The 24058-nt window shown below is 46.9% G+C and overlaps 1 protein-coding gene across 24 annotated transcripts in view, besides 1 other annotated feature; it reads right to left on the reverse strand.

Moving 5' to 3' along the window:
- The window catches only part of PLEKHA6 (pleckstrin homology domain containing A6), a 159316-nt gene that overhangs the window by 78111 nt on the left and 57147 nt on the right, over nt 1-24058 (reverse strand). For 9 of the 24 annotated variants that reach the window (XM_047449458.1, XM_047449457.1, XM_047449452.1 and 6 more), the window contains exons 1-2: nt 17146-17317; nt 10374-10479 (exon numbers count right to left, since the gene is read on the reverse strand). The exons of 13 other annotated variants lie outside the window; for them this stretch is intronic. In XM_047449458.1, the coding sequence (XP_047305414.1) occupies nt 10374-10479; nt 17146-17269 (230 nt within the window). In that variant the 5' untranslated portion in view covers nt 17270-17317. Of the gene's footprint in view, nt 1-10373; nt 10631-17145; nt 17318-24058 lie in introns of those variants that run through there. 2 more of the 24 variants (XM_047449467.1, XM_047449462.1) reach the window with 2 other exon arrangements.
- Nucleotides 6964-7584: an enhancer, noted in NCBI's record as "OCT4-NANOG-H3K27ac-H3K4me1 hESC enhancer chr1:204273055-204273675 (GRCh37/hg19 assembly coordinates)". NCBI's record gives its function as "activates a minimal SCP1, AML or CMV promoter by ChIP-STARR-seq in primed H9 embryonic stem cells {active_cell/tissue: H9 hESC(primed)}" and the evidence as "EXISTENCE:reporter gene assay evidence [ECO:0000049][PMID:30033119]".

Here is a 24058-nt window from a genome sequence, read left to right on the forward strand (position 1 = left end):
CAATTTGACCTGAAGAAAGGAGTTCAGATTTAGGAACATGGCTATTACCACCATAACCAGAGAGCCACCGTACCCATCCCTGCAGATTTCTTTTTTTAAACTACCAGCTCCATGGAGAGAGAAAGGAAAAGAATTTAGTGACAACAGTAGAGATAAAATCCGAATCAGATGGAGAAAGTCACTAACTAACATATCCTTCTTCCTAGAAAGAAAAATCTCCTGGCTCTAACATTTGTCTTTGATGTGACATTTAACTCCTAAACACTACCTTCTGGTAGGAAAATACATGGATACATGGAGTGTCTAAATGTAAATTTCTCTTGTTGGAAAGTCTCAAGACAAAGACTAATCCTCGTCCCCCTTTAAGTTTTCTCTTTCCAACAAGAAATTCTACTGGGTGTAAGGCACTGGGCCTTAGCACATGGCTACAAAGGACAAGGTCGCTGTCCTGGGGGAGTTGATATCAGGCAGTCTTTTCTCCTGTTCACCTGGGGTAGAACTGTTTGGTTCCCCAGTTGGTCAGAGAGAAAAGGAAGGATGGCTGGGAAGTCACAATGCCTGGATTAGAATCCTGACTCTACTCCATACTAGCAATGGGACTTTGGACAAGTTATTCAATCTCTCTATGCCTCAGTTTCCTCATCGGCAACAGGGGGGGTGGGTAACAGTTTCTACTTCATAGGATTTATTGTGAGGATTAAGTGACTTAATTCACATAAAATGCCTAAAACGATGCCTGTTACACGTTCGTGGTTATCATTGTCTCAACCCCCCAGCTTGTGGAACCACCAGAAACATCGGAACTGAAATTCAGTCCCCTCTACATTGCTAACTATGAGCTGTTTCTTATCAGAGATCCAAAAGGATTTAGGGTTCTTTGCAGGTTTTGGTTGCCCAACCTCCACAAGGTCCATCAATGTGAGTGATAGAGGGAAGACGGCATCTTGATCTAGGACCCCTTTGCTGTCCTCCCCCTACTCCTCATATCTCTCCCCATTGACTTGCCTGAACCTCCACACCTTTCTCATGGTTCACAATTGGCTCTGGTCCCATGGAGCCAGTAGTTGGAAAAGAAGAATCTAGAGGAGTGCTCTTGGGCATTTCCACAAGTAGTCAGACATGTGTCTCTTCTCCTCAGGGGTTCACTTCGATGAAGAGCAGCAGCCAGTCAAAAATGCTTCCAAATCCCATAGAGCCTGGCCCAAGCCCTTGTCTTCTCATGCAAAAATAGTTTCATATTCACTAATTCAATCCTAACCTAAGCAAGATGGTGGGCCTGAGTCTTCCTTGTGAGCCCCAGATGGAATGAGGGACAATGGATGGATTCAGTTACATCATGAAAGACTGAATTTAGAAACAATGAGCTTTCCAACAGTGAGACTTTTCAATGTTGACTCCCTAGTGTCAAATGGAACAATCAAACCATTTATGAAAGACTTTACTAAAAGGGTAGAGTGGTACCTGAGGAGGGGTCGGGGACTGAATGGCCTTCAAGGTCCAGGTTCCGGGTCTTTTCTGCACATGGAGAATGGCAATGACACACAGCCATGCCCCAGGTTCCATCAGTCAGACTACCCTGCTCCTTGCTAGGCCTTGCCCGTCCTCATGCCAGGCAGGAGAAGAGCCAAGCGAGAGGAGTTGGGGTGTGTAAACTCTCTAGGCCAGACTCCCCTAGGCTTGGAGGTCCAAGAAGGGCTAATGTGCAACAGAAAGTACTAACCCATTTCTAGAAACTGGCCCCATCCCTAGATCCATGGTTAAGGAAATAACCATGTGCCTAAACCCTACCCACTCTTGTGGTTACATGGGGTAGCCACCTGATCTCAGCTCAGCCAAAATCCCTCCCCAGGGATGGGAACAGAGATGGAGAGAAAAAAGAGGCCAGCCCTTCTCCAGGCAATTCTATTGGTGATGTGCACAGGAAGGAGCTGCTTTTCCATCTTTTCTTTCCTATAGACTGACCAGGAAGCTGAAAGTCCTCTCTGCAATGAGAGAAGTGAATGAGCCAGCACACAGAGAGGGGCAAAGACCATATCTGTGGCATTCAGCTTCTTGCTTCTAGTCCATTCTTGTGATCCAGCCATTTCTTTGACCTTGAGTTCTGAGAGACACCCCAGCTCCCTTATAATTAAATCCCCTCTGGGGCTTCAGCTGCTTTGAGTAGTCAGTAACTTGTACCCAGAAGTCACAAATTAATCCCAGAGGAAGGGACAAGATAATTTCCAGAGGACCCAAAGTCTCCATCTAGACTTTGCACACATGGTTGGTATGAGGAAGAAAAGGAAAGCAAACAGGAGGAAGAAGGGAAAGCACTGGGAATTTTGTCTAAAGACAGCAGAAAAGGGTGCTGGGAGGCTGTCACCAGCCTAGACACCAGGCCATCTGAGAGGACAGGAAGAAAGAGGAGGGTCAGAGAAAGCAGGTGAGCTTCCTACTGCCCAGTGCAGAAGAGCCCCTGGGATGTTTAAGAGGGAGCTGGCAACAGAAGTGGGGTGTGTCATATAGGTGAGCTAAGGTCCATAGGGAAGGTGGCAGGGGAGGACTGCTGACCGAAGGACTCAGGGAGCTCTGAGCCGGCAGCCAGCAAGCTGACACAGCTTTGAGACATTTTCCCAGAGGACAGCCATTATTGAGGGGAGAAAACATCTCGCATTCTTTCTCCTGCACTTTCCAAAGCAACGTGGGTCTTCTACTGTCTTAGGGCCTCACAGTTCTCTCAGGCTAAGAGGTTTAACCTGCCCCCTCATGTCTTCTTTAGAAAGGCCTACTTCCCTGGCACCAATTCCATGAGCTAATGTCCCCTTTAAGAATATTTTTTGCCCCATCTGTTCTCTAGTTGGCTGGAGCAGATGTTCTTTGTTCCTGTGGAAACTAACCTACCACCCTTCCTAATGGGTGTCTCCCTAGTGAAGCACAGGCCACTCCCCTGCCAGAGCAGCCGGCCCTTCTACTGCTTGGAGTTCACTGATGGCAGGCTCCTCACCACAGAGGAACACCATGGACACATGTGCCTGAATATTAAGAGTCCAGATCTTGCCTGACCTAGAGATGACCCAGAAATGGCAGCCGCCATCTGACAGTACTTAGAAGATAGAAGAGGGAGGTTATCTATGCCATTGCCCAGACAACAGACCAGGGTCCATCTTTCCAATGATGTGTTAACAGCAGGGTGCATCTTCAGCAGATTGAATTAGTGCTTCCTTTGACTGTTTTTTCATATCACTAATGAAGACCAGAGAGACTCCCTAATTGAATTCTCCCTATTTCAAGCTGCTCATCACTCTCAAGCTTACCCAGGGCTCATGATCCTTGAGGACAATCCTTCTCTCAAGACAGGTCCCCACTCAAGGGAACACTTCTCCAGCCATGCAATGCGTGGGGAAGCAGGAAGCACTGTGCATTTCACTGGCTCTGTATGGGGGTTTCTTCCACTGCAGATAATGCATCTCTCACTAAATCCAACTTGACCCCATTTGTTCTTGGCTCTCATAGCCCCGACAAAGCCAGCTGGATTCTTCTTGTAAGCCACAAAGTTGACTGAAATTTAGCTTCCTCTCTTCTGAGCCATTAGCCTACTGGGATCCCAGAAGTCAATGTATAAATAAGAACAAGCCAATAAATGATCCCTATCAGATGTCCAGAAAGTACCCCCCTAATCAGAGAAGATGTCAAAGTCAGAGCTCCCCGTGCCCACCCTTGAGTTGTCTTCATTCATTCTAAAGAGGTATTACCTTGGAGGAAAAGCCTAGCTCTGCAGGCAGACAGACCTGGATTGGAATGACAGCTCAGCCCACTTATCAGCTGAATGTCAATGGACAAGTTATTGATCCTCTCTAAACCCTAGCTTTCTCATCTGTAAAATGGGAAGACCAATTCCTACCTTACAAGACTATATGAGGCAATACAGAGCCGCAATGCTTTCATAGCATTCCAAAACCTACAAATGTCTGAACTGAAAGTTTTGTCCTAACTGGCAGCAAAACTCAACCTGACTTGAGCATATTTAGCTGCAAACTGCGACCTGAACTGGCAAGAGACTCTTTACAGCCTTTATTTATCCCACTCATGTGACGCTCTCAGTCTGGCTGCAGGATATTAATATGTTTGATTATGGAGCTGCTCCAGATCCTACTGAAGGTTTTATGTAATAAACAATGTGTACCACTTTACCATTCTAAAATCCATAGGCCCCAAAGATTTCAGATAATGAAGTATAGAGCTATACAAGCCACCTCTCTAGCTCCAGAAGACAGGAGTTTCAGCAGAGTCACCAGAGTTATTTAAGCTAAAGATGCTGACAGCGAGTCAAAGCACTTGCCTCATCACCAGTCTGGAGAGTCTCTGGGTTCCTGCAGCCTGGAGCTGGCTCCTGGGAATGCATGTTGGCATGGGACAGGGGAGAGGATTCAAAGAACAGCTCATCAGCCTACAGCAATCTGCTGCATTTCTACGCTGAATAGAGCTGGCGGAGGCAATGTGTTATTTGGTTGGACTTCAGGTATAGACATGCCCACAGAGTCCAAACACGCCACCCAAGTCCCCACCTCATTGGGCTTCCAGCCCTCTCTCCACCCTACCACCACCCCATGGCTTCATCTGTACCACTTACTCCCTAGGGCCATTCCCAGGGGATAAATGACAGAGCTGTGGGGGAAACAGAGAGAAGGGGGGCTTGAGTTTATGAGGAATTGAAGGAAGGAATTCCAATTGTGAGGGGGATGATGATGATGGGACATTAGGGTGAGAAACAAACATATCAACACACAGCCGAACAGGTTTGGCATGTTTCTCCTGATGCTGTTTCATGGCCTCAGGAGGCTTTTAAAATGGGAAACCAGCCCTGGTCAGTAACAGTGAAAAATGTTGGGCAATTCTCAGATCTCTTGGCTCTAGTCGTACATTTTAGGGACTTACTGATGATTATTATGGACTCAACCCACTCTAAGGCACAGTCGTCCAAGTGGACTTCTCAATTCTGACCTTGGACCTGCTATCTTGAGAAGACCTAGTCCATCCTGCCACCTTCAGCCACTTTTCCAACAGGCATACGACTGTTGGGCAGTAGACCTGCAGTTCAGAAAGAGGTTGTGGATGCTTCTTTTCTTGGAGTGATAACATCTACATGAAATTCTTAGAAACGCCCTACTGTGTATCACATGGAGACCTGAGGCATGCAGAATTAAACAAAGAGGATGGTGGCAATCAAATTCAATTCCCTCATGTTACAAATGAAGAATCTGAGGCCCAGAGAGAAGGATTGAGTTTTCCAAGACCATGAAGCAAGTTAGAGACAAAGCTGGCCCTGGAGTCCAGGTATTGCTTTCCATAATCTCACCATGATAAGGAGGGGGACATCTTCAAAAGTCCAGGAATATCCTTGTTGACCTTGCATGTGTCATGTTGCCCAGGCTGGTCTTTGCATTCAGGAAAAGCCATGCTGCATGATTAACGCCTTCTTCCTTCTGGCTTGAACATCTCAGAAGAGATTCTAATCTCTAAGAATTTAGCTGTACTCCCTAATGCTGTGTCCCAAACTTATGCAAAGTTAAGAAAAGATCCTCCTTGGGGAAAGCCTCCTTGGGGAAAGCCACCACTGGAGGGGACCAGAGGTGGGCTAAGAAAACCACTGCCAGCCGGGTACAGTGGCTCACGCCTATAATACCAGCACTTTGGGAGGCCGAGGCGGGCAGATTACCTGAGGTCAGGAATTTGAGACCAGCCTGACCAACATGGAGAAACCCCATCTCTACTAAAAATACAAAATTATCTGAGCGTGGTGGCGCATGCCTGTAATCCCAGCTGCTTGGGAGGCTGAGGCAGGAGAATTGCTTGAACCCAGGAGGTGGAGGTTGTGGTGAGCCGATATCAAGCCATTGCACTCCAGCCTGGGGGACAAGAGCAAAACTCCATCTCAAAGAAAAAGAAAAAGAAAAAGAAAAAGAAAACCACTGCCTGTCACCATCATTCATCTGCCCAACCCTAGGTGGAGCCATCAGATGAAGCACGGAGGGGTCTAACCTGAAGAAGCTCCTCAAGTGGCAGCTATCTTTAATTTACACTTCTTGGATCCTTTTCTTTCTTTCCCCCCTCTGCTAGTTTGAACAGCCCCATGGTATCCATCATCAGTCACAGGTTCAGGCTTTCCTGCATCACCGTTCTTAAGGGCTATGCTGCTGGACTGACCCATCACTATCTAGAAACTGTCTGGAAAAGAAAATCTCACACACCTTGGCCTGGTCTTCCAGATCGGAGCCAATCTTCCCTTTAGTCATTTTCCCTATGCCTCTTTGCCCTGAGAAAGCTCGAGAATCTGCCACCCTCTCACCCTCTCCCCACAGTTGAACAACCTTCCTAATTTAGGAATCTTAACCACTTTCCTAGGCTAGGAGGGCTCTTATTTCAGGACATGAAAATGGGATGAAAAAATCAGAAAGTTTTCTTATATAAAGAAGTCCTGGGTATCTGCTTTTAGGAAAAGTGTCCTAGAATGAACCTCAAAAAAGAGCATCTAGTTCAAGTCCTAGGGTGGTTTCAAACTGAGTTTTTCCTAAAAGCTTTTGCTCATACAAGTCTGCATATATGTGCACACCAACCATGTGTCTCAGATTCTGGCAGCTGGGCACCTGTCTGGGGTTTCCCACATATTTGTTGTAATTCCAGGTCTGAATCCTCAAAAGGTAGAAGACTCAGACACTCTAATACCCCCAGGAGCCTCCAAATTTACAAAAGCTCCAATCTATATTATTTTGGGGTACGGGGGTGGTGGTGAGACAAGAGTCTCACTCTATTGCCCAGGCTGGAGTACAGAGGCGCAATCACGGCTAACTGCAACCTCTGCCTCCTTGGCTCAAGCGATCCTCCTGCCTTAGCCTCCTGAGTAGCTGGGACTGTAGGCGTGTGTCACCATGTCTGGTTAATTTTTGTATTTTTTTGTAGAGACGGGATTTCACCGTGTTGCCCAGGCTTGTCTTGAACTCCTGAGCTCAAGCGATCTGCCCGCCTCAGCCTCCCAAAGTGCCAGGATTACAGGTGTGAGCCACTGTGCCAGGCTTAGCCTATATTCTTGAGAGTTCAAGAAGACCCACCATTTCAAAAATTGATATCAAGATTTTTAAATGTTCTTGACTTCAACCACCCAGTTAACAACATGTTTCTCACACTATTCCCAAAATCCAATCCACAGATCTCCTTGCTCTTTTCCAAAGATAGAAGACGACCTCCCTCATTTCCAAAAGGTGACTGTAGGAATAAGAATGCGCAAGTCCTAATCCCAAAGCCCTGCTATCCCTGCTATTCAGGACAAAGGGGAAGAGGAAGTGAGAGTACATTCCTTCACCGGGGGCCTGACCCTGGAGGTAGAAACCTCTCACAAAGTAAGAATGGAGAAAGACTCAATATGTTTATCAGTTTATCACATTCTAAAGACCCGCAGGGAAAGATGGTAGTGACAAGATCAGAATTCAAGTTTTCAGAAATCTGCCCCAAAAGTGGCCTTATCAGGGACAACCAATATAAGATTGTCAACTTTTAATTTTGCTAAATAAGGATATTTTAAAAGCCTGATTACCATCTACTCTCACCATCAGCTCTGAAAAAGGATAAGCTAGTAAATATTTCAGCACATCTCCTGCCCCTAAAAGATGTCTTCTAATACATTTTGCTTTCTGAAAAAAATTGGTAAATTTTCCCTATTTTTCTTATTTTACCTCAGACTGGTGAAAACTCTGTCACAGACCAAAACTTGGGAATCACTGGGCCAGAAGACAGCTCCATGTCCCTTTTAGCTTGAGCCTAAAAATTAAGAGAAAGATCCTACGCTTTTGGGATTCAGACCTTCTAGAAAACCTGAGTAGGGCAGGTATGGAAGGGAGGGGGAAATTAATACACATACTATTCTTTACTTATATTAAAGGCACTCTGTCAATTACAAGGCACTGAACAAACATTGGTTGTTATTTTATAAAGCAGGTGTCCAGTGAGCATCTACCACCCTACTGAAACCTCTTAAATTTCTGTGAGCCCCTGAATTTTACCATATCCTCGCCTGTTCAAATAATTCAGGGACAATAGAGAAGAAGGCAATCTACTCCAAGTCAAGAATTACCTGAGGAAAAAAAGTATGCCTCTGGTGCGTGGTAGAGAGCATCAAATTGGCAACGTAACAGAGACATAGACCCAGTGATGCCATTTCAATTGCACGATGAGGGGGCCCAGAGAGGACTGGTTCCATACCAGGGAGCAGTTTTCCACTCTGCCTTCCCTATCACTGCTTCTTTCTCATTACTCTGATGCAGAAAGTATGGGGGATGAACAGGTAAAGGAAAGTGCGTGCATTGCTGGGCAGTGGGGTAGAGGGAGGTGCATGCAGTACTGCGGCACGCTGGATTAGGAGTTGGATTCTAATCCATCCCTCCTGCTGACTAACCATAGCAGCATCTTTTGGCTCCAGTTTCCTCATCTATATTGTAGGAATATTTTTCCCATCTTCCCTACAGGATTGCAGGTAAACTGAGAGACCCTTGAAGGCAGATCCAGTTCTTTTCCATCTCTCTATACTCAAAATCTAGCACACTGCTTAGGGAAGAAGAGGGATCAGTAAACACCTGCTAAATTGAGCTAGAATGGGAGTGTGGGTATGAAAGCACACTTGGTCTGAGCTGCAAAGCACTGTACAATTGAACAAAAGGAAGAAATTATGACACTCTTTTGGCCAAAATTATGCACAGCAGCATCTACCAACTACATAAAGATGCTATGAATTCTATTTGGAAGTAGGTGGTGACATAAATAAAAAAATGTTTAATGCCCATAGTTTCAAAAATAACCAGACTGTACAACCTATTAATTGTATTGCCTAATAAATGGCTGTGTGATTGCCTTCTAAATTCCATTGTACTATATGATTTCTTAGGCTTAAAATGTATTTTTGTTGCACTTTGCCCATCCCGCATCACCTCTCATACATTTCTCCCACTATATTCAGAAGTCAGTAGGCAAACGGTGGTTTTCTCACCTATTCTGGATTATATCGACATTGAGAGTTGAGATCACTTGCCTGGCTGCAGCTTTGGAATGTGTCAGAGTTTAGGACTCCCCAATCCCTCTTTTTGTTCCTTTCCATCCACCCCATATTCTTTCTCTAGCTTTCTCCACCACATTCCTCCTCCAATGTATATCTCACCACCCCAAATCTGCTTTTCAAAAACCACCTCCAGCCTCTGGCTCTGTCCCATTGAGTCTGGGCCACCCACCATTCCTGCGAGATCCTGCCTCACAGCATGTGCTGCCCACAGGACCAGTGACTGCTCAGATGGCAGCCAGGCCAGGCTGCCCACCCACCAGCCCCTGTACAAGGCAGTTCTCTGATCTCTGCTCCTTGCCACCAAGAAACACCACACAAACCCTAGGAAGACGGGGCCACATTCAGCCAGCCTTACCCACCATCCACCAATCACCTGTCTCGCCCAAATTTCTGCTTTCAGGCAAAATGCCAATTCCTCCTCCCCCTCTTCCAAGGCTTTGGCCTCCATCCTGCCCAATTCTGAGGCACTGAGAAGAAAGTGCTCCTGCCACTTGCCCCTCATAGCTTTGATCCCTTGGGTTGGTTCAAGCTAATTTCACATGGAGACCATGCTGGAATGCATAAGGATCTCACCTTCCCAACAGACAGCTTTACAGGTAGATTTATAAGAAATGTTCCAGGACATAAAGATAACAACAGTAGATAGATACCGGGGACTCCAAAATGGGGGATAAACCTATTGGGTACTATATTCACTATTTGGGTGACTGGTTCAACAGAAGCCCAAACCTCAGCATTATGCAATATATCCACGTAATGAACCTGTACATGTACACCATCCCCCACCATCTAAAATTAAAAAAACAAGTGTTCTAAGCACCTACAAAATCCAGGGCTTACCCTAGGGGCATCAGTCCTCTGGATACACATGGGTTGTACTTATGTCTCTAAATTCCCTCTGCAGCCCCCTACCCCCAAGGGAGAAAATAGTCACCTTCTAGAAATTAGATATTTTCTTTAACTTTTTAATGAGAGACCCCGAGGAAGATGAACATTTATGCAATATTCTTATTTGCTAGAAGAGAAAGAAGGGATAAATGAAAAGAAGAAGAGGTAAAAGAAAGAGGAAGAACAGGTAAAAGATTTGCTTCCCAACTATTAACAGAAGTACCTGCACCACACACACACTCACACACATTCACTCTCACACACTCACACTCATTCATATCTGCCTTACTGTGAAATACTGCTCTTTGCCCAACATGTGAGTTTTTCTCCCGGGTCCTCTCCACTGAAAGTTTGGCTGGCCCCAGATCTTCCTAGCGGAGATCCCCAGGACCCTAGATTTTACCTTCCATGCCAGATGTCAGGACCCAGCTGGGAGACGCAGACTGCCGACTGAGAAGGAGTGAAGCAATACTTCTGATCGGAGAAAGCTGCCGAGGGTGGCGGATGCACTGCCCATGAGAAGGAAGGAGACAGGGAGAGAGCCTGGGATTCCAGAATTCCCCCAGCCTTCCAGGAAGACTCTGGTGTCAGCTCTCTCCTTGCTCCAGCGCTAACTGAAAACCTAAGGAACATCTCCCAATAAAGCTGGCTCTGAAATCTGAAACTGCAGGTTGGCCAAGTCCTATATAAACACACTCACACCCCCAGTTCCTCGGGTCTGATGGCTTACCCGCCCTCGCGTTCCCCTCACTCCCTACCCCGCCTGCTCATTGGAAACATCAGACAGCCCTCTAGCTGCAGCAACTCCTGAAACCCTAAGCTGAGCTAGCCCAGCGGAGCTGAGCCCAGAGGTGCAGGCACTGGGAGAGAGCCCTGCCAGGTGCTCTCCACTGTCTCTCCCAGCCCCAACCCCTCCAGCAGTTCAAGTCCAGGTGCTTAAGTGGCACTCAGGATCGAGGCAATAAGGGCAACAGGCAAGTCTGCAGCTTAAGAGCAGAGATTTTGAGACTATTCCTCCATATTAGGGAATATTCTCCTAAGGATCCGATTCTAGATAACTGGGTCTGACATATATAAATGGCTAAATTTGTCTTCCTCACCTCTCCCAATTTTCTGCATATCCTTCTTATGGAGCTCCCCTTTCTTTTGTGCTTCCACCCATAATAGAATTAGGCCAGGTGAGACTAGGAAGGGACTGTAGCAATTGTAACAAATGCCTCATTTTGCAGATAAGAGAGCTGAGGCCAGGATGATGACATGGCTTGGCAAAGCCAGGGAGTGACTCCCAGCCCGATTCGGCATCTTGGATGGTAGAAGGAAAATAAGAGGCTTACAAGTCAGATGGGCTGGGCAGTGGCTCATGCCTATAATCTCAACACTTTAGGAGGATTGCTTGAGGCCAGGGGTTCGAGGCTGCAGTGAGCTATGATCCTATGATCATGCCATTGCACTCCCACCTGGGTGACAGAGCGAGACCCTGTCAATCAATCAATCAATCAATGTCAGTTGGAACCATGCTTTAATACAACTAGATACTCACTTGGACCACTGATTGCAAGAAAAAAAAAATCACTTAACCTCTCTGAGCTTCAGTTTCCTTATCTGTAAAATGAGGCTAAGGATCCCATCTGAGTCACAGTAAATAAGGTAACATGTATACAGGGGCACATGGTAGGCACTCAGTAAATGCCCATTGCTCTTCCCACTACCTCCAGTCGCCAGCTGACTCAAGAAGGTAATTCTTTTTCTTTTTCTTTTTTTTTTTTTTTTTTTTTGAGACAGAGTCTGGCTGTCGCCCAGGCTGGAGTGCAGTGGCACAATCTTGGCTCACTGCAAGCTCCGCCTCCCGGGTTCACGCCATTCTCCTCCCTCAGCCTCCCGAGTAGCTGGGACTACAGGCACCCACCATCACGCCCGGCTAATTTTTTTGTATTTTTAGTAGAGACGGGGTTTCACTGTGTTAGCCAGGATGGTCTCGATCTCCTGACCTCATGATCCGCCCACCTTGGCCTCCCAAAGTGCTGGGATTACAGGCGTGAGCCACCACGCCCGGCCTCAAGAAGGTAATTCTAAATTGCCTGTAGTATTTACTGTTCCTCCAGTGGCTGGTTTCATGTTTCTCATTCATTGTCTTTCTGTCACTCTATTAACATCCATAGTTTACTTTGTACAGTGCTCAGCATGTAGTGCTTCATTTCTGTTAAGGGAAATATTTGACGTGCAGGCTGAGGTCATAGACAGATTCACACTGAAGACTCCCTGCAGGTCTCCCCCGCATCTCAACCTCCAGGCTCCAAGCTTCAGTCCCATGAGCCCAACCACCTACTGAGCATTTTCCTGAGGGTAACCAGACTGAACCTTAAACTCAGCATGCTACAATCAAATTAAGATTGACCACCCACTGACTAATATATCATTGTACAATCACACGCCGCATAAGGTCGTTCTGGTCAACGATGGACCACATATACAAAAGTGTTCCCATAGGATTATAACACTGCATTTTTCCTGTACTTTTTCTATATTTAGGTACACACATACCACTGTGTTATAGCTGCCTACAGTATTCGGTACAGTAGCATGCGGTACAGGTTTAAGCAATAGGCTACACCATAAAGCCTACGTGTGTAGTAGGCTATACCACCTGGGCTTGTGTACGTACACTGTCATGTTCGCATGACAACAAACTTGCCTAAAAATGCACTTCTCAGAATGTAGCCCCAAAATTAAGTAATGCATGACCATATTGAGAAGGAACTGTACAAGATATGGTAAATGAAGATAGTATCAATTTAGTATGATGCTTCTTGGACTAAGAAATAATTTATGTTAACTACCAATATTATATTTGCCTAGAGCAGGAGTCAGCAAACTTTTTATGTAAAGGGTTAGATATATATTTTTAGCTTTGTAGGCCATACAGTCCCTGTTACACTCAATGCTACCATCATAGTGCAAAAGCAGCCACTCATAAGTAAACAAATGAGCAGAAACAAAAAAGCATAGATGAATGAGTGTGGCTATGTTTCAATAAAACTCTACTTGTGGACACTAAAATTTGAATTTCATGTGTCACAAAACATCATTCTCCTTTTGATTTTTTTTTCAGCACCAAATATAAACCCCATTCTTAGCTTAAGGGTCACGCAAAATTAGGTAGTGGGCTGGATGTGGCCCATGGGTCACAGTTGGCCGACCCCTAGCTTACAGCCTCTCAGGAAGGATGTAGCAGACACTGGTAACAGTGATCCTCTCCAAGGAGGGGACTGGGCATAGATGAGAGATAGATCGAGAGAGAGACTTTCACTGAATACTTTTCTATATTGTTTGACTACTATGCATGCAAGTGAAAAAACAAAAATCAATTATGAATGGGCTCCCCATCTAAGTTCACCCTTACTTCTATCAATGTCAATGTTAACTCTCCTGGTTAAACAGGGTTATAACTTCCAGGTCAACTTTGACTCTTCTATTTCAGTCTCTCATCCCAACAGCAGTCAGATCTGAAATCCACTGGCCCAGTTCACCAAAGTACCTCAGCCTACTACTGGCCATCTCTTACTCCCTCCCCTTCCCGCATTCCTACTACTGTCTTTACCACTCAACTGTCATTTACATACAACCTTGACCCTCAACTGACTTTTTACGCCAAAAACGTTTTTCCAAAAGAGAGACTGAAGATTTTTAAGGATTGGACTATTTATTGCAATTCCTTGCCTTCCCTCTCAGCTCCTATACAAATGCCTTATACGTAGTAGAGATGCAATAAATAGTTGCTTGATTGCCAATCTCTCATCCTGCTAGAAATGATTAGGAACAGAGGGCAAAGACTCATCTACAATAAAAGCTAGTTCTGAGACATGCAGCAGGGAGAGTACACAAAAGCTCAAAGACTTTGGGAGAAAAAATCATAGTAAAGGACATTTAGGGAGAGAAAAGAGGCTCTGCTTTGGAGAAGGAAGTCAGGAAGAATGCCTCCGGTGATGATGCGGGTGTGGGGAGGAACTTGCCCTAATTCCAATCTCTAGTGCATTAGCCTAGAGTTAGGGAAACCCCTTATCCTGAGCTGGGAGATTTGGTGATCCCAGAATGAGAGCCTCCCACATTTTGGAGGGATCTCAGCATTAAGCAGTCTGCCCTCCCAGCCGGTGCAGGAAAAGGCCTCAGCAACCACTATGAAAGATGGTTATCCACAGGCCGCTTGAACTCCTGCAGAGACAGCACACTCACTACTTTGGAAGGTAGCCTGCTCCATTGTTGAAGAGTGCTGTTAGAAAGTTCTGCGAGGTGGCTCATGCCTGTAATACCAGCACTTTGGGAGGCTGAGGCAGGCAGATCACCTGAGGTCGGGAGTTTGAAACCAGCCTGACCAACATGGAGAAACCTCATCTCTCCTAAAAATACAAAATTAGCCAGGTGTGGTGGCACATGCCTGTAATCCCAGCTACTCGGGAGGCTGAGGCAGGAGAATCACTTGAACCTGGGAGGCAGAGGTTGTGGGGAGCCGAGATCATGCCATTGTACTCCAACCTGGGCAACAAGAGCGAAACTCTGTGTCAAAAAAAAAAAAAGTTATTCTGCTTCTACTCATTGTTTCTAGTTCCAGAACTAAGCAGATTAAGGCTTCTTGAGTGTAACAAAAAAAAACTAATGATAACTGCCAAATACAATACAGTTTTCAAATATTTCTTCCTTCCAAGATGTTCAAAGGGTTTTTAAACACAAAATCATCAACTCTTTGGAACTGAAAGTACCTTTGCTCAAAAATATTTATTGAATGAAATTGAATATAATTCCTTTTCCTACTTCCCAACATGAAAGCCCTAAGATTACACTCTAAAGGGAATCATTTTATTTCTTTAGAGGAGGAAACTTCACAATCACCCATGGCCATGCGGGCCCTAAAATCCTTAAACTCAGAAAATGCATCCTAAGATCTAAACTGAATCCCTCGTGCAATAGCATTTCCTCTGGTCTCAGCCCATTTCTTACCCTTCCTACTATAGGCATTAAGTTGGTGCTACATGACAAAATGCTAATGCCTAATGCTTGAGCCAGTGCTGGATAGATGCTTTATACATATTTTCTCATTGAATTCCTACAGAAACTCTGGAGGTGGGTGGTGGTATTCCCATTTTATAGCACAGGAAACTCATGGTTAGAAGAGTTAGCTAACTTGCCCAGCATCACACAACTAGTCAGTGACACAGCCAAAATTCAGTTAGGTCTACTCAGCTTCAAAACCCAGTCTTTTCCCTACAGTCCAAGGCTTCCATGACAGTCGATCATCTCTGCCAACCTCACTCTGTCCCTGAAATGTGCAGAAATGCTTATTTCCATCATTTCCATCAGAAGCATGGGAGAGATAAACGGCACACAGCAATCCTACTGTCCCTCTCCAGATTCCACCCTCTGGGGGTGTTCAGGCCTTCCTGGGATGGAGGAAACAAGAGCAAAACCATTCAAAGCATCCCAGAAACACTCAACGGCAGAGTGACACCTTTCTGGCTCACAAGTGGCACACAGTCCTGTGCTTTCCTACAACCTGCCCTTGCTTGGGTCTGGCTCCAGGCCTTACTACAGGGCCGGGATGCTCAGGACCCCATGAAGCATGGCATTGTTTGGGCAGCACAAACACAACGTTCACCTGGGTCCTGGCACCTTTTCTCGGCAGCGCTGCTTTGGTAAATATTTGGCTGGCTCACCCAGGAGAGGACCACAGGACCTCTTTACCCATATCCCAACAATCCCAGTTCCACAAAGATGGGCTAGAGTGTGCTGGGGACAGGCACAGAAGAATCACAAATGCCAAAATGCAGCCACTTCCCGAGTCATCAGCAGAAATCAGTTTGCCTCTAGTGCACTCTCTGAGAAGCTCTGAAGCATTTGCATCAAGGCCCTTAGCCCATTTTCTTTTCTTTTCTTTTCTTTTCTTTTCTTTTCTTTTCTTTTCTTTTTTTTCTTTTCCTTTCCCTCCCTTCCTTCCTTCCTTCCTTGCATTGCCCAGGCCAGTCTTGAACTCCTGGCCTCAAGCATTCCTCCCACCTCAGCTTCTCAAAGCACAGGCCCTTAGCCCATTTTCTTTCTTTTCTTTTCTTTTCTTTCCCTCCCTCTGTCCCTCCCTCCCTCCCTTCCTCCCTTCCTCCCTTCCCTCCCTCCCTCCTTCCCTCCTTCCTTCCTTCCTTGCGTTGCCCAGGCCAGTCTTGAACTCCTGGCTTCAAGAGGTCCTCCCACCTCAGCTTCTCAAAGCACTGGAATTACAAGTGGGACCAACTGTGCCCAGCCCTTAGCCCATTTCCAAAGCTCAGCTCCAAATCCCAGGATGGTTCCTGACTAATCGCCCTGTTGGAGTTCACCATCTTAGTGATGCACTTCACACAATAGTCAGGCCTCCCCACACAGCTCATCTTTTCAACCTAACTTACAGGGTGCTGGAAAAACACCGGGTTGTCCTCCACTCCAGGATGCCTACCTCCAGAAACATGCACATTCCTGGGCTCATCTGGCCTCGGGGACTCCCTGAACATAGGGATGACCTCCCCATTTCTCAAGAGCACAAACCACAGCCAGGAGTTCAGAGCTCACACAAGATGTTACTATTGAAGAAAGAAGCTGACCTTGAGGCTACTGCTTCTCTTCTCAGTCCCTGGGGAGAAAATTCTCTTGTTGGCAGTCTATATTCCATATTAGCCCAAGGAAATCATATGATTCTCCACCTCCATGCCCCCATCCTCAGGTGGCTGTCTTTGAGATTTTCACCTGACATTCTGCAGCTAACCACCTTTCTATCTGTCATCTCCCTGGGAGACATGGTCATTAGCAGAGAGCACCATGTAGGTGTCTAATTAAGCAAGCAGCAGCAAATGCAGAAACCTGTTCAAGCCACCCCACAGAGCATCTCCCCGGGGATCCTCTTACAGGCAGCTCCCTCCCCCGAGCTTCCTGGAAAGGTCTCTATTGTTTGCCTAGAACACAGAAAAGTGTCCGATTCTGCCCTCCTACTTATCTGCTGGCACAGACTTCCTGGCCTCTGCACAACCCCAGGGGGTACTATTCCCATATAGCACAATGTGAACGGTGCCCTCAGAATTGTGGGACACAGCAGCACTGGTGGGTGGGAAAGTGAGGGTCCCCAGATGGGGAGGGACAGGATCTTCTGAGGGATGTCCTCTTACCTGTCTTCCTTAGGGGTCCCAGAGCCATATCCTGCCATCCTAGCATCTTGAGATCAGGGCACAGGAAGCAAGGTGCCCTCAAACAGATTGATAATAAGATGGCAGAGACAGAGGTGGACAGCATGAGTGGCTCAGCCACTCCCTCAACCTGTGTCTCAGAGTCCTGTTGTCTGAACTGTAGCTCACCTGTTCCTGTTTCACCCTTCAAATGGAATGTTCCACTTCCCCTGTGAGCCCGGGGAGAGAAATAAATTCCCTGTTCTAGAAAAGCTTTCTTCTTTAGAGACTGAAGTCTCTGGAATTTCATCTAATACTCCTGCAGACGACAATGGAGTGACTGGGCCAACAGTAAGTGCAGAGAAGGATCCTGGAACGACAAGACTGATCCTAACTGGCCACCACTCCCCCTGGCCTGGGGATGGTCTAACCAAGGAGACTGGAGGGGAATAGACAGACACCTGCTGCCTCTGTAGCTCCTGGCGGACCTCACTCTCAGGTGTCAGATGAGTATCCCAACCAAGCTGGGGCGAGAAATAGCAGAATCCTCCTTAACTTCTTCTCCTGTGCCCTTCCCTGAGTCAAGCTTGTCTTTCTTCTAGGCCCTTATCTCCCTGCCTCAGAGACCTTTATCCACTTCATCTCTTACCTCCACAATGGCGCAGGGGCGGTAGAGATGCTGGTATGGATGCCCACAAGCTTTTCACAGGGACAGCATGTATGCTGGTATTTGGGGAGTAGGGAATAGTACTCAGGGATGGATCTAGGTCTTCTAATTCCACAGGGGCTTCAGTGACTCCAAATCCAACCCCTAGAGGTATCAATGTAGGCCTCGGTGCCCTCATGTGATCCAGAGCTCTGCCAGCTTGGCTCGGAACGCTGGCACACACTCCTGCACCACACCAAGATATGTGGGTTCACTCTGGCAGAAATGGGAGAATGACAGCCCTGTCCAGCTGTTTTCCAGTTCCTGTGAGACAAACTGGACTTTGATTACAGCAGGAATGGTTTAGGTTAGATAGTAAGAATCACTTGAAATGGGTGATAAGAGGACATTTAGGACTCTGTCCTTGGCCTTTAAAATTAAAGCCAATTTCCCCTCCACTGGCTATGGCTCAATACCTGTTTCATCATGTGACTCTCTTGCTCAGAAATCCTCAGTGGTTACCCCTCCCCTGCCTGCTACATAAGGGTCCACCTCCACGGTTTGGCATCCAAGGCCCACTGCGGCACGTCCCCACTCATCTTTCAAACGTCATATTCTATGGCTCCATGTGTAAGTTTTCTAGTTCAACCTGACTGAACTTTGCAACATTTCCCCGAAAGGCCTTAGGCATTCCTGCTCTGGCAGCGTCATTCCCCTTCCCTCTCCCCCAGATGCCTGTTAAATCCAAATCTCCCAGGGGAAGGCAGGTGGACACCGTGTTAGGGCTGAGCTCAAATGCCACCTCTTCCAGAAAGCTTCAGTTAAACACCCCCAGCCCACAGAAAACCCCCTCCGCCGTGAAGTTGTAGGCATATGTTAGCCAGTCATTCCCTAGAAATGTCCTGAGCATGACAGTGCTAGAGACTGAGCAGAGATGTGGTCCCCACCTTCAAGGAAACCCTAATCTAGAGAGTGGATACAGATAAAAGCAAACCAACAAAACCATCCTCCCGTGACAGGCAGCCTGGGATGAGGGCAGCGTGAGTGGGGAGCCGGGGAGATGCCCAGGGGAGGCCACAGCATGGAGACGACAGCATGAGAGGAGGAGGCTGGGCGTTTTAGAGGGAGTCACATTAAGGAGACGGGAGATTACTGGGGTACCTGGACTAGGTAAAGGTTCGTGTTGGGAAGTAACGATAATTCTATAAACATTTACTGTGTGTTTACTATGGACACTGTGGGAATGCTTCCTATTTATAAGCTTGCTTATTCCTCATAACTAAATGAAGCTGGACGGGTATTTGGGGGCCAGACTGTGGAGTCCCACGATGCATGTAATGCAATGCGCGAGGTGGCTCCCGCTCAATAAATATTTTCTCGTTGATCAATGGATAAATGATCTTTGAAGGCTCACTCCCAGTGGGAGGAAGCTAGAATTTCTCAGGAGCAACTAAAGCTCTGAAAAATATTTTTCTAACTTTTTAAACTATTAAAAGAAACATCGGGACTGACAAGGGGAGGAGAGGCCCTGGTTGGGTAAGAACCTGACTTTCTCGATACAGGATGTGGAGAGTGGGTGTTGGAGCACTCCCTGTGCCCACAAGAAACCCAAGTAGGCTCAGGGAGACAGCTGCCGGGAAAGACAGCTGCAGGCCGCTCAGAATAGGGACACGGGAGAAATGCTTTCAATGGGTGAGTCCAGGGGTACCCAACCCCTTGTTCCCAGTGCCTTTGCAGGATATGTGGGGGTAGGGTTCACTCAGCACCACCCAGAGCTGGCAGAGCCTCCGGAGCTGAGTTTGCCCTGCCTCCCCACTCATTGGCACGGTGACTTGGCTAACTCATTCCAGAGAGATGGAGGTCCTTCTAAAAGGTCACAGTTTCCCTCGGTTTCCCATCTTTTCTGGCCTCCCAGTCTTTGATTTAACTTTTATCTGGCCAACTGGAATTTAAGCCCATTCTCCACTGGAGAGCTCAATACAGGTATCAAACTTACCTATTTGAACCCATTCCCCACTAGGGAAATCAATAAAGATGTCAGCTCATTCCTCTTTCCTTTGGCATCTGCGTTAGGATATCCCAGGGTGGGACTCAATCACCCTACTGGTATTTTACCAGGCGCAACTAGGGCTGAAGAACGGAGAAGCCAAATGATGAACCCCAGACAGATAAAGCGGCCTCCTCGTATCCACTCCTTAAACACCTCCAAGGCCAATCACATAATCTACCGTGCCATCTGCAGCTGAAATAACCAGAACTGGACATCTGGAGGTACCTTCCAGTCTCCTCCAGCCTGGACCAAATCACTGAGCATCTCTCAGCCTCTTTTCCCCACCTGTAGAATGGAATGGAACCTGTGCTCACCAAATTCAGCTCTTCTGAGCATAAAATAACTTGGTAAATATAAAAATGTCTCAGAAAGTTAAACCAAAGAGTTAAGCATAGGGTACTGCTGATAGAATACCAATCCAGGCCTAAAGAGGCCCTCAGGGACAGCTAGCAGCCCTGGGTCCTAGCTCCAGGCAGGGGCTCCAGTTTGGAAAGCCTTTCCTGATTTGAGTCTGGGAAGAGATAAGATAACAATCAGCGATGTTGTTCCAGCAGCCAGGCCTCTTCGGAGAGTTTATCAGCAGAATCTGCCCAACCAGGAATGCAAGCTCGGCCCCACCTGTAGCCTTCACCTCCTCAGCCGGCTCTGAGGGTCTGGGCCTATTTTCTTTAGAACCTCACATCTAGGAACAGGAGGCACCTTCTCATCCATCTCAGAGCCCCACCAACACTCCCGGCTAGATCTCCACCCACCTTTGAACACAAGCCACACGGAGGAAGTCTGCCATTTCTTTTTCCTCAGAAGTTTTCCTCTAACTACCCTGTCTTACAGATAGTGTCTTTCAAACTGTGGCTTTGGAATCATCGGTGGGTTGGGAACTCAAATTAGTAAAACATAATCCAAATTGGCACATGGGAGAAATGCATTTTTTAAAAATTTAATGGAACAGAATAGAACGTAGTGTATACTGCACTTGGTAAGAATAAATATTATTTTGGGATACTTTTGTTAAAACACACACACACAATATGAGAATCCTGACTCAGCCACTTAATCTTTCTATGCTTCCATTTCTTCATTTTAAAAGGAGGACAATAACAGTATCCACCTCATATCATTATTGTGAGGACTGTATTAGTCCATATTCATGGAGCATTTGGAAAAGTACTTTACACAAGTGCTATATAAAAGTGTTATTTCATACACTTATACACACATGAGTGCATGTGTGTGTACACGTGCGTGCATGAATATCTTTGCTTACAAGGTAAATATCCTTCTGTAGGGTGGGGAAAAAACTGAAAGTCACTATGTGGGAGAAGCTAAGAAGTGTCTCTCCAAAGACAATCTGTTCTTGGAGTCCAATTCCCAGTGCCCAGGAGATTTCACAGGTGTCTGTCCTGGCTTTAGAGAAGGAGACAGAGGTCACTGGAGGAGCAGTGGCTGGACAGAGCGTGTAGAGGATCCGAGAGCACAGGGCCAAGGGCTTCAAATTGGCTCATTTACTCCACATGCAATTCAGCAGGGTAGGTACTATTATTACCCCTGCTGTACAAGTGAGGAAACTGAACCAGAGAGAAGTTAAGTTGCCACACAGCTAAGAAGTAGCAGGGCCTGGATTTGAACTCTGCTTCCCAAGTCTGGACTTGGAACCACTGGACTACAGCGTCTGTTTCACTTTGCAGCCAACTTCTTGCATAGCAGGGGAAGGCCGGCCCTCGGAAGTTTTGGCCACTGAGGAGGTGGCCTTGTCTGTGACAGAAGTGGCTCCATAAGTGTGGCCTCATAGGCACTCGCCTCAAGCAATTTAATTTTCAAGTGGCTTGAATTCAGGAAACAATAACTCCAGGGTCACAATATAAAGTCCAGAGCTTTCTACTACAATAGCTGGCGATAATAAACTTGGTTAACAGGCTCATAGCATATAATGCATTAAGTACTCGTTTAATTTGAACAGTACAAACCTGACCAGATGACATTACATCTCTCCCATACCCTTTATTCTGGAAGACTCGGGTTGTTTCTGAGCACGTCTCGTTTCATTTTCTCCATGGTCCAGAGATGTTAGGAGGGGAATATTCTCTGACTTGCCAGAGGCCACTCTATGAGTGAGCCCGCAGTGCAGAGAGGGAAGGTTTCCGGTCCAGTAAATGGGAGAACAGAAAATCAGGTAATCTCCATCTCCAAGTTCCTGTGGTCCCTAGCTCTCCCAGTCTGCCCTTGCTTCCTTCCCATCTTGATAACTATGCAAAGTCCCCCAAAAACAAGGTACTCGGTTCATCTCTAGAACTGACCCTGTGCCACATCAACCCAGTGGACACTTCTGGTGGGAAGGAAAGAGGAGAAAGAAGACGGGAGTGGGCTGTAACTGTGGAATCACTCTCCTTTCCCCGTGAGGCGCCCACAGTCCTTTCCTGTGCTATGGAACATTTCATAACACTGGGAGCAGGAGGAGGAGCAGGCTGTCAGTCTTATAGACTGTTTCCTCCAAAATTCCGTGTCCTATTCACTGTCCTTACAAATGAGAGCTGGCTAACTATCTCCTCATACTGGGTACAACCCATGACTTTTCATATCTTTTCATTCTGTGATAAGCCCCAAACATACATTATTTTTTTAAAAACTGAGGAAATTGAGATCAAGAGACATTAAGAGACTTACTCATTGTCACAACTGTGTGAACATAAGCGAGGGAGGATCCCATTAAGGCGGGCTTCTTTTAGAGCTAGTAGGCACTTCTAGTCCCCATACATCCCCTGTCCCCACCCAACAGGAGTGGTCCCTCCCTCCTGTGCGCTTTGTCTGTAAGTCAGAAGCAGGTATTTCTGAGTCACGCCTGTTGTCCTGCATTGCAGTCATTTGTTTACATGTCTGCCTCCCCCACAGCACTCTGAGTTCCTTGAGGGCAGTGGCCGTGTCTTACTCATCTTTGCATTCCTGGTATCTGGCATATAAACATTTCTCAATAAATATTTGGGGAAGAAAGGGAGGAAAGGGAGGACAGAAGGGAGACATACAGAGGGAGGAAAGAGAGAAGGGAGAAAGGGACAGGGCGGGCAGGGATGAGGAGGGAGGGAGGAAGAGTGGGTGAGTGGGTACCAGGAGCTCATGGTCATCTCAAACCAGTTCAATGGAATCATGGTACACCACCCTCTGCGGGTCTAATTCTAACAGGGACGAGTGGAACAGGCTGCCCTACTAGAGTCCATCTGGGATATCACTAGAGAGCACTAGTAGCAGAGTGGCCTTTCAGCCACCAAGGGGCCAGGAAGCCACAAGACTTAAGACACTGCTGCCCCATCATCCTTATTCTCTCCTTTCCCACCATAAGGAAGGGAACAAAGAACCAGCTGCCTCTTCCCTGGGGGAATGCTATGCTCCACCACCCCTTCATGCCTCCATGTCCACCTATTTAATGGAGGCTCGGTGCTGTCTTGGGTGATGGAAGTGGATTTAGGAGGATGGTGGCATGCAATGTACACTGGGTAGACCCCTCCACTTGACTCCCAACCCTCGAGGTAGGGGTGAGCATGGGGGGTGCTTCTTAGGTGGGGAGCTGGTGCCAGCAGGGCCCTGAGGAAGGAGCCATGCCCTCCATCTGGATTCACCATACTCGCAGCTCAGCTCCCCAGGAGACTGTGGGTGGGAAGGAGCAGTGGCTTCTATAGGAAGGGGCTCTGAGAAGGCTTGGTGCCTGCATGACTCAGGGAAACAACTAGAAACCATAACTTAGCAACTTGGCTTCTCTCTGGAATTTCCCTGGGGCAAAGAGATAGGGAAACTTTCGGTCAGCCCTGTTTATGCTGAGCCCATGTGGGGCCCCACAGCTCCTCCTTCTTTTCTGGAAAGTTCTGGGTCCCCTATCTCTCCCCACATGGCTATTGCTCATACATCAACTGCTCCCTCCACGTGCTCTGTGGAGACCTCCTGTACGCACAGCACACTGGGCTGGCCTGCAGCACTCTTGGAGCTCGATCTCTAGGGTATGTGTGTGTAGAATGGGGAGTGGGAGAGAGGGGTTCTTAGCCTTCCCCCAAAAAACCCAGAATAATGCCATTACATTCTGCAAAGCCTGCCTGATCTCTTTTGAAAAACATGTTCTGAAGCCAAGTCTGGTACATGCCAGGCAGCCCAGCACCTGGAAATGAAGCAGGAGGCTATTTCCAAGGGATCTTGTAGCTTCTCCTTTGTGCCAAAGAAGGGGGCAGATGATGAAGGGG

Source organism: Homo sapiens, chromosome 1, assembly GCF_000001405.40.
Source record: "Homo sapiens chromosome 1, GRCh38.p14 Primary Assembly".
NCBI classification, from domain to species: domain Eukaryota; kingdom Metazoa; phylum Chordata; class Mammalia; order Primates; family Hominidae; genus Homo; species Homo sapiens.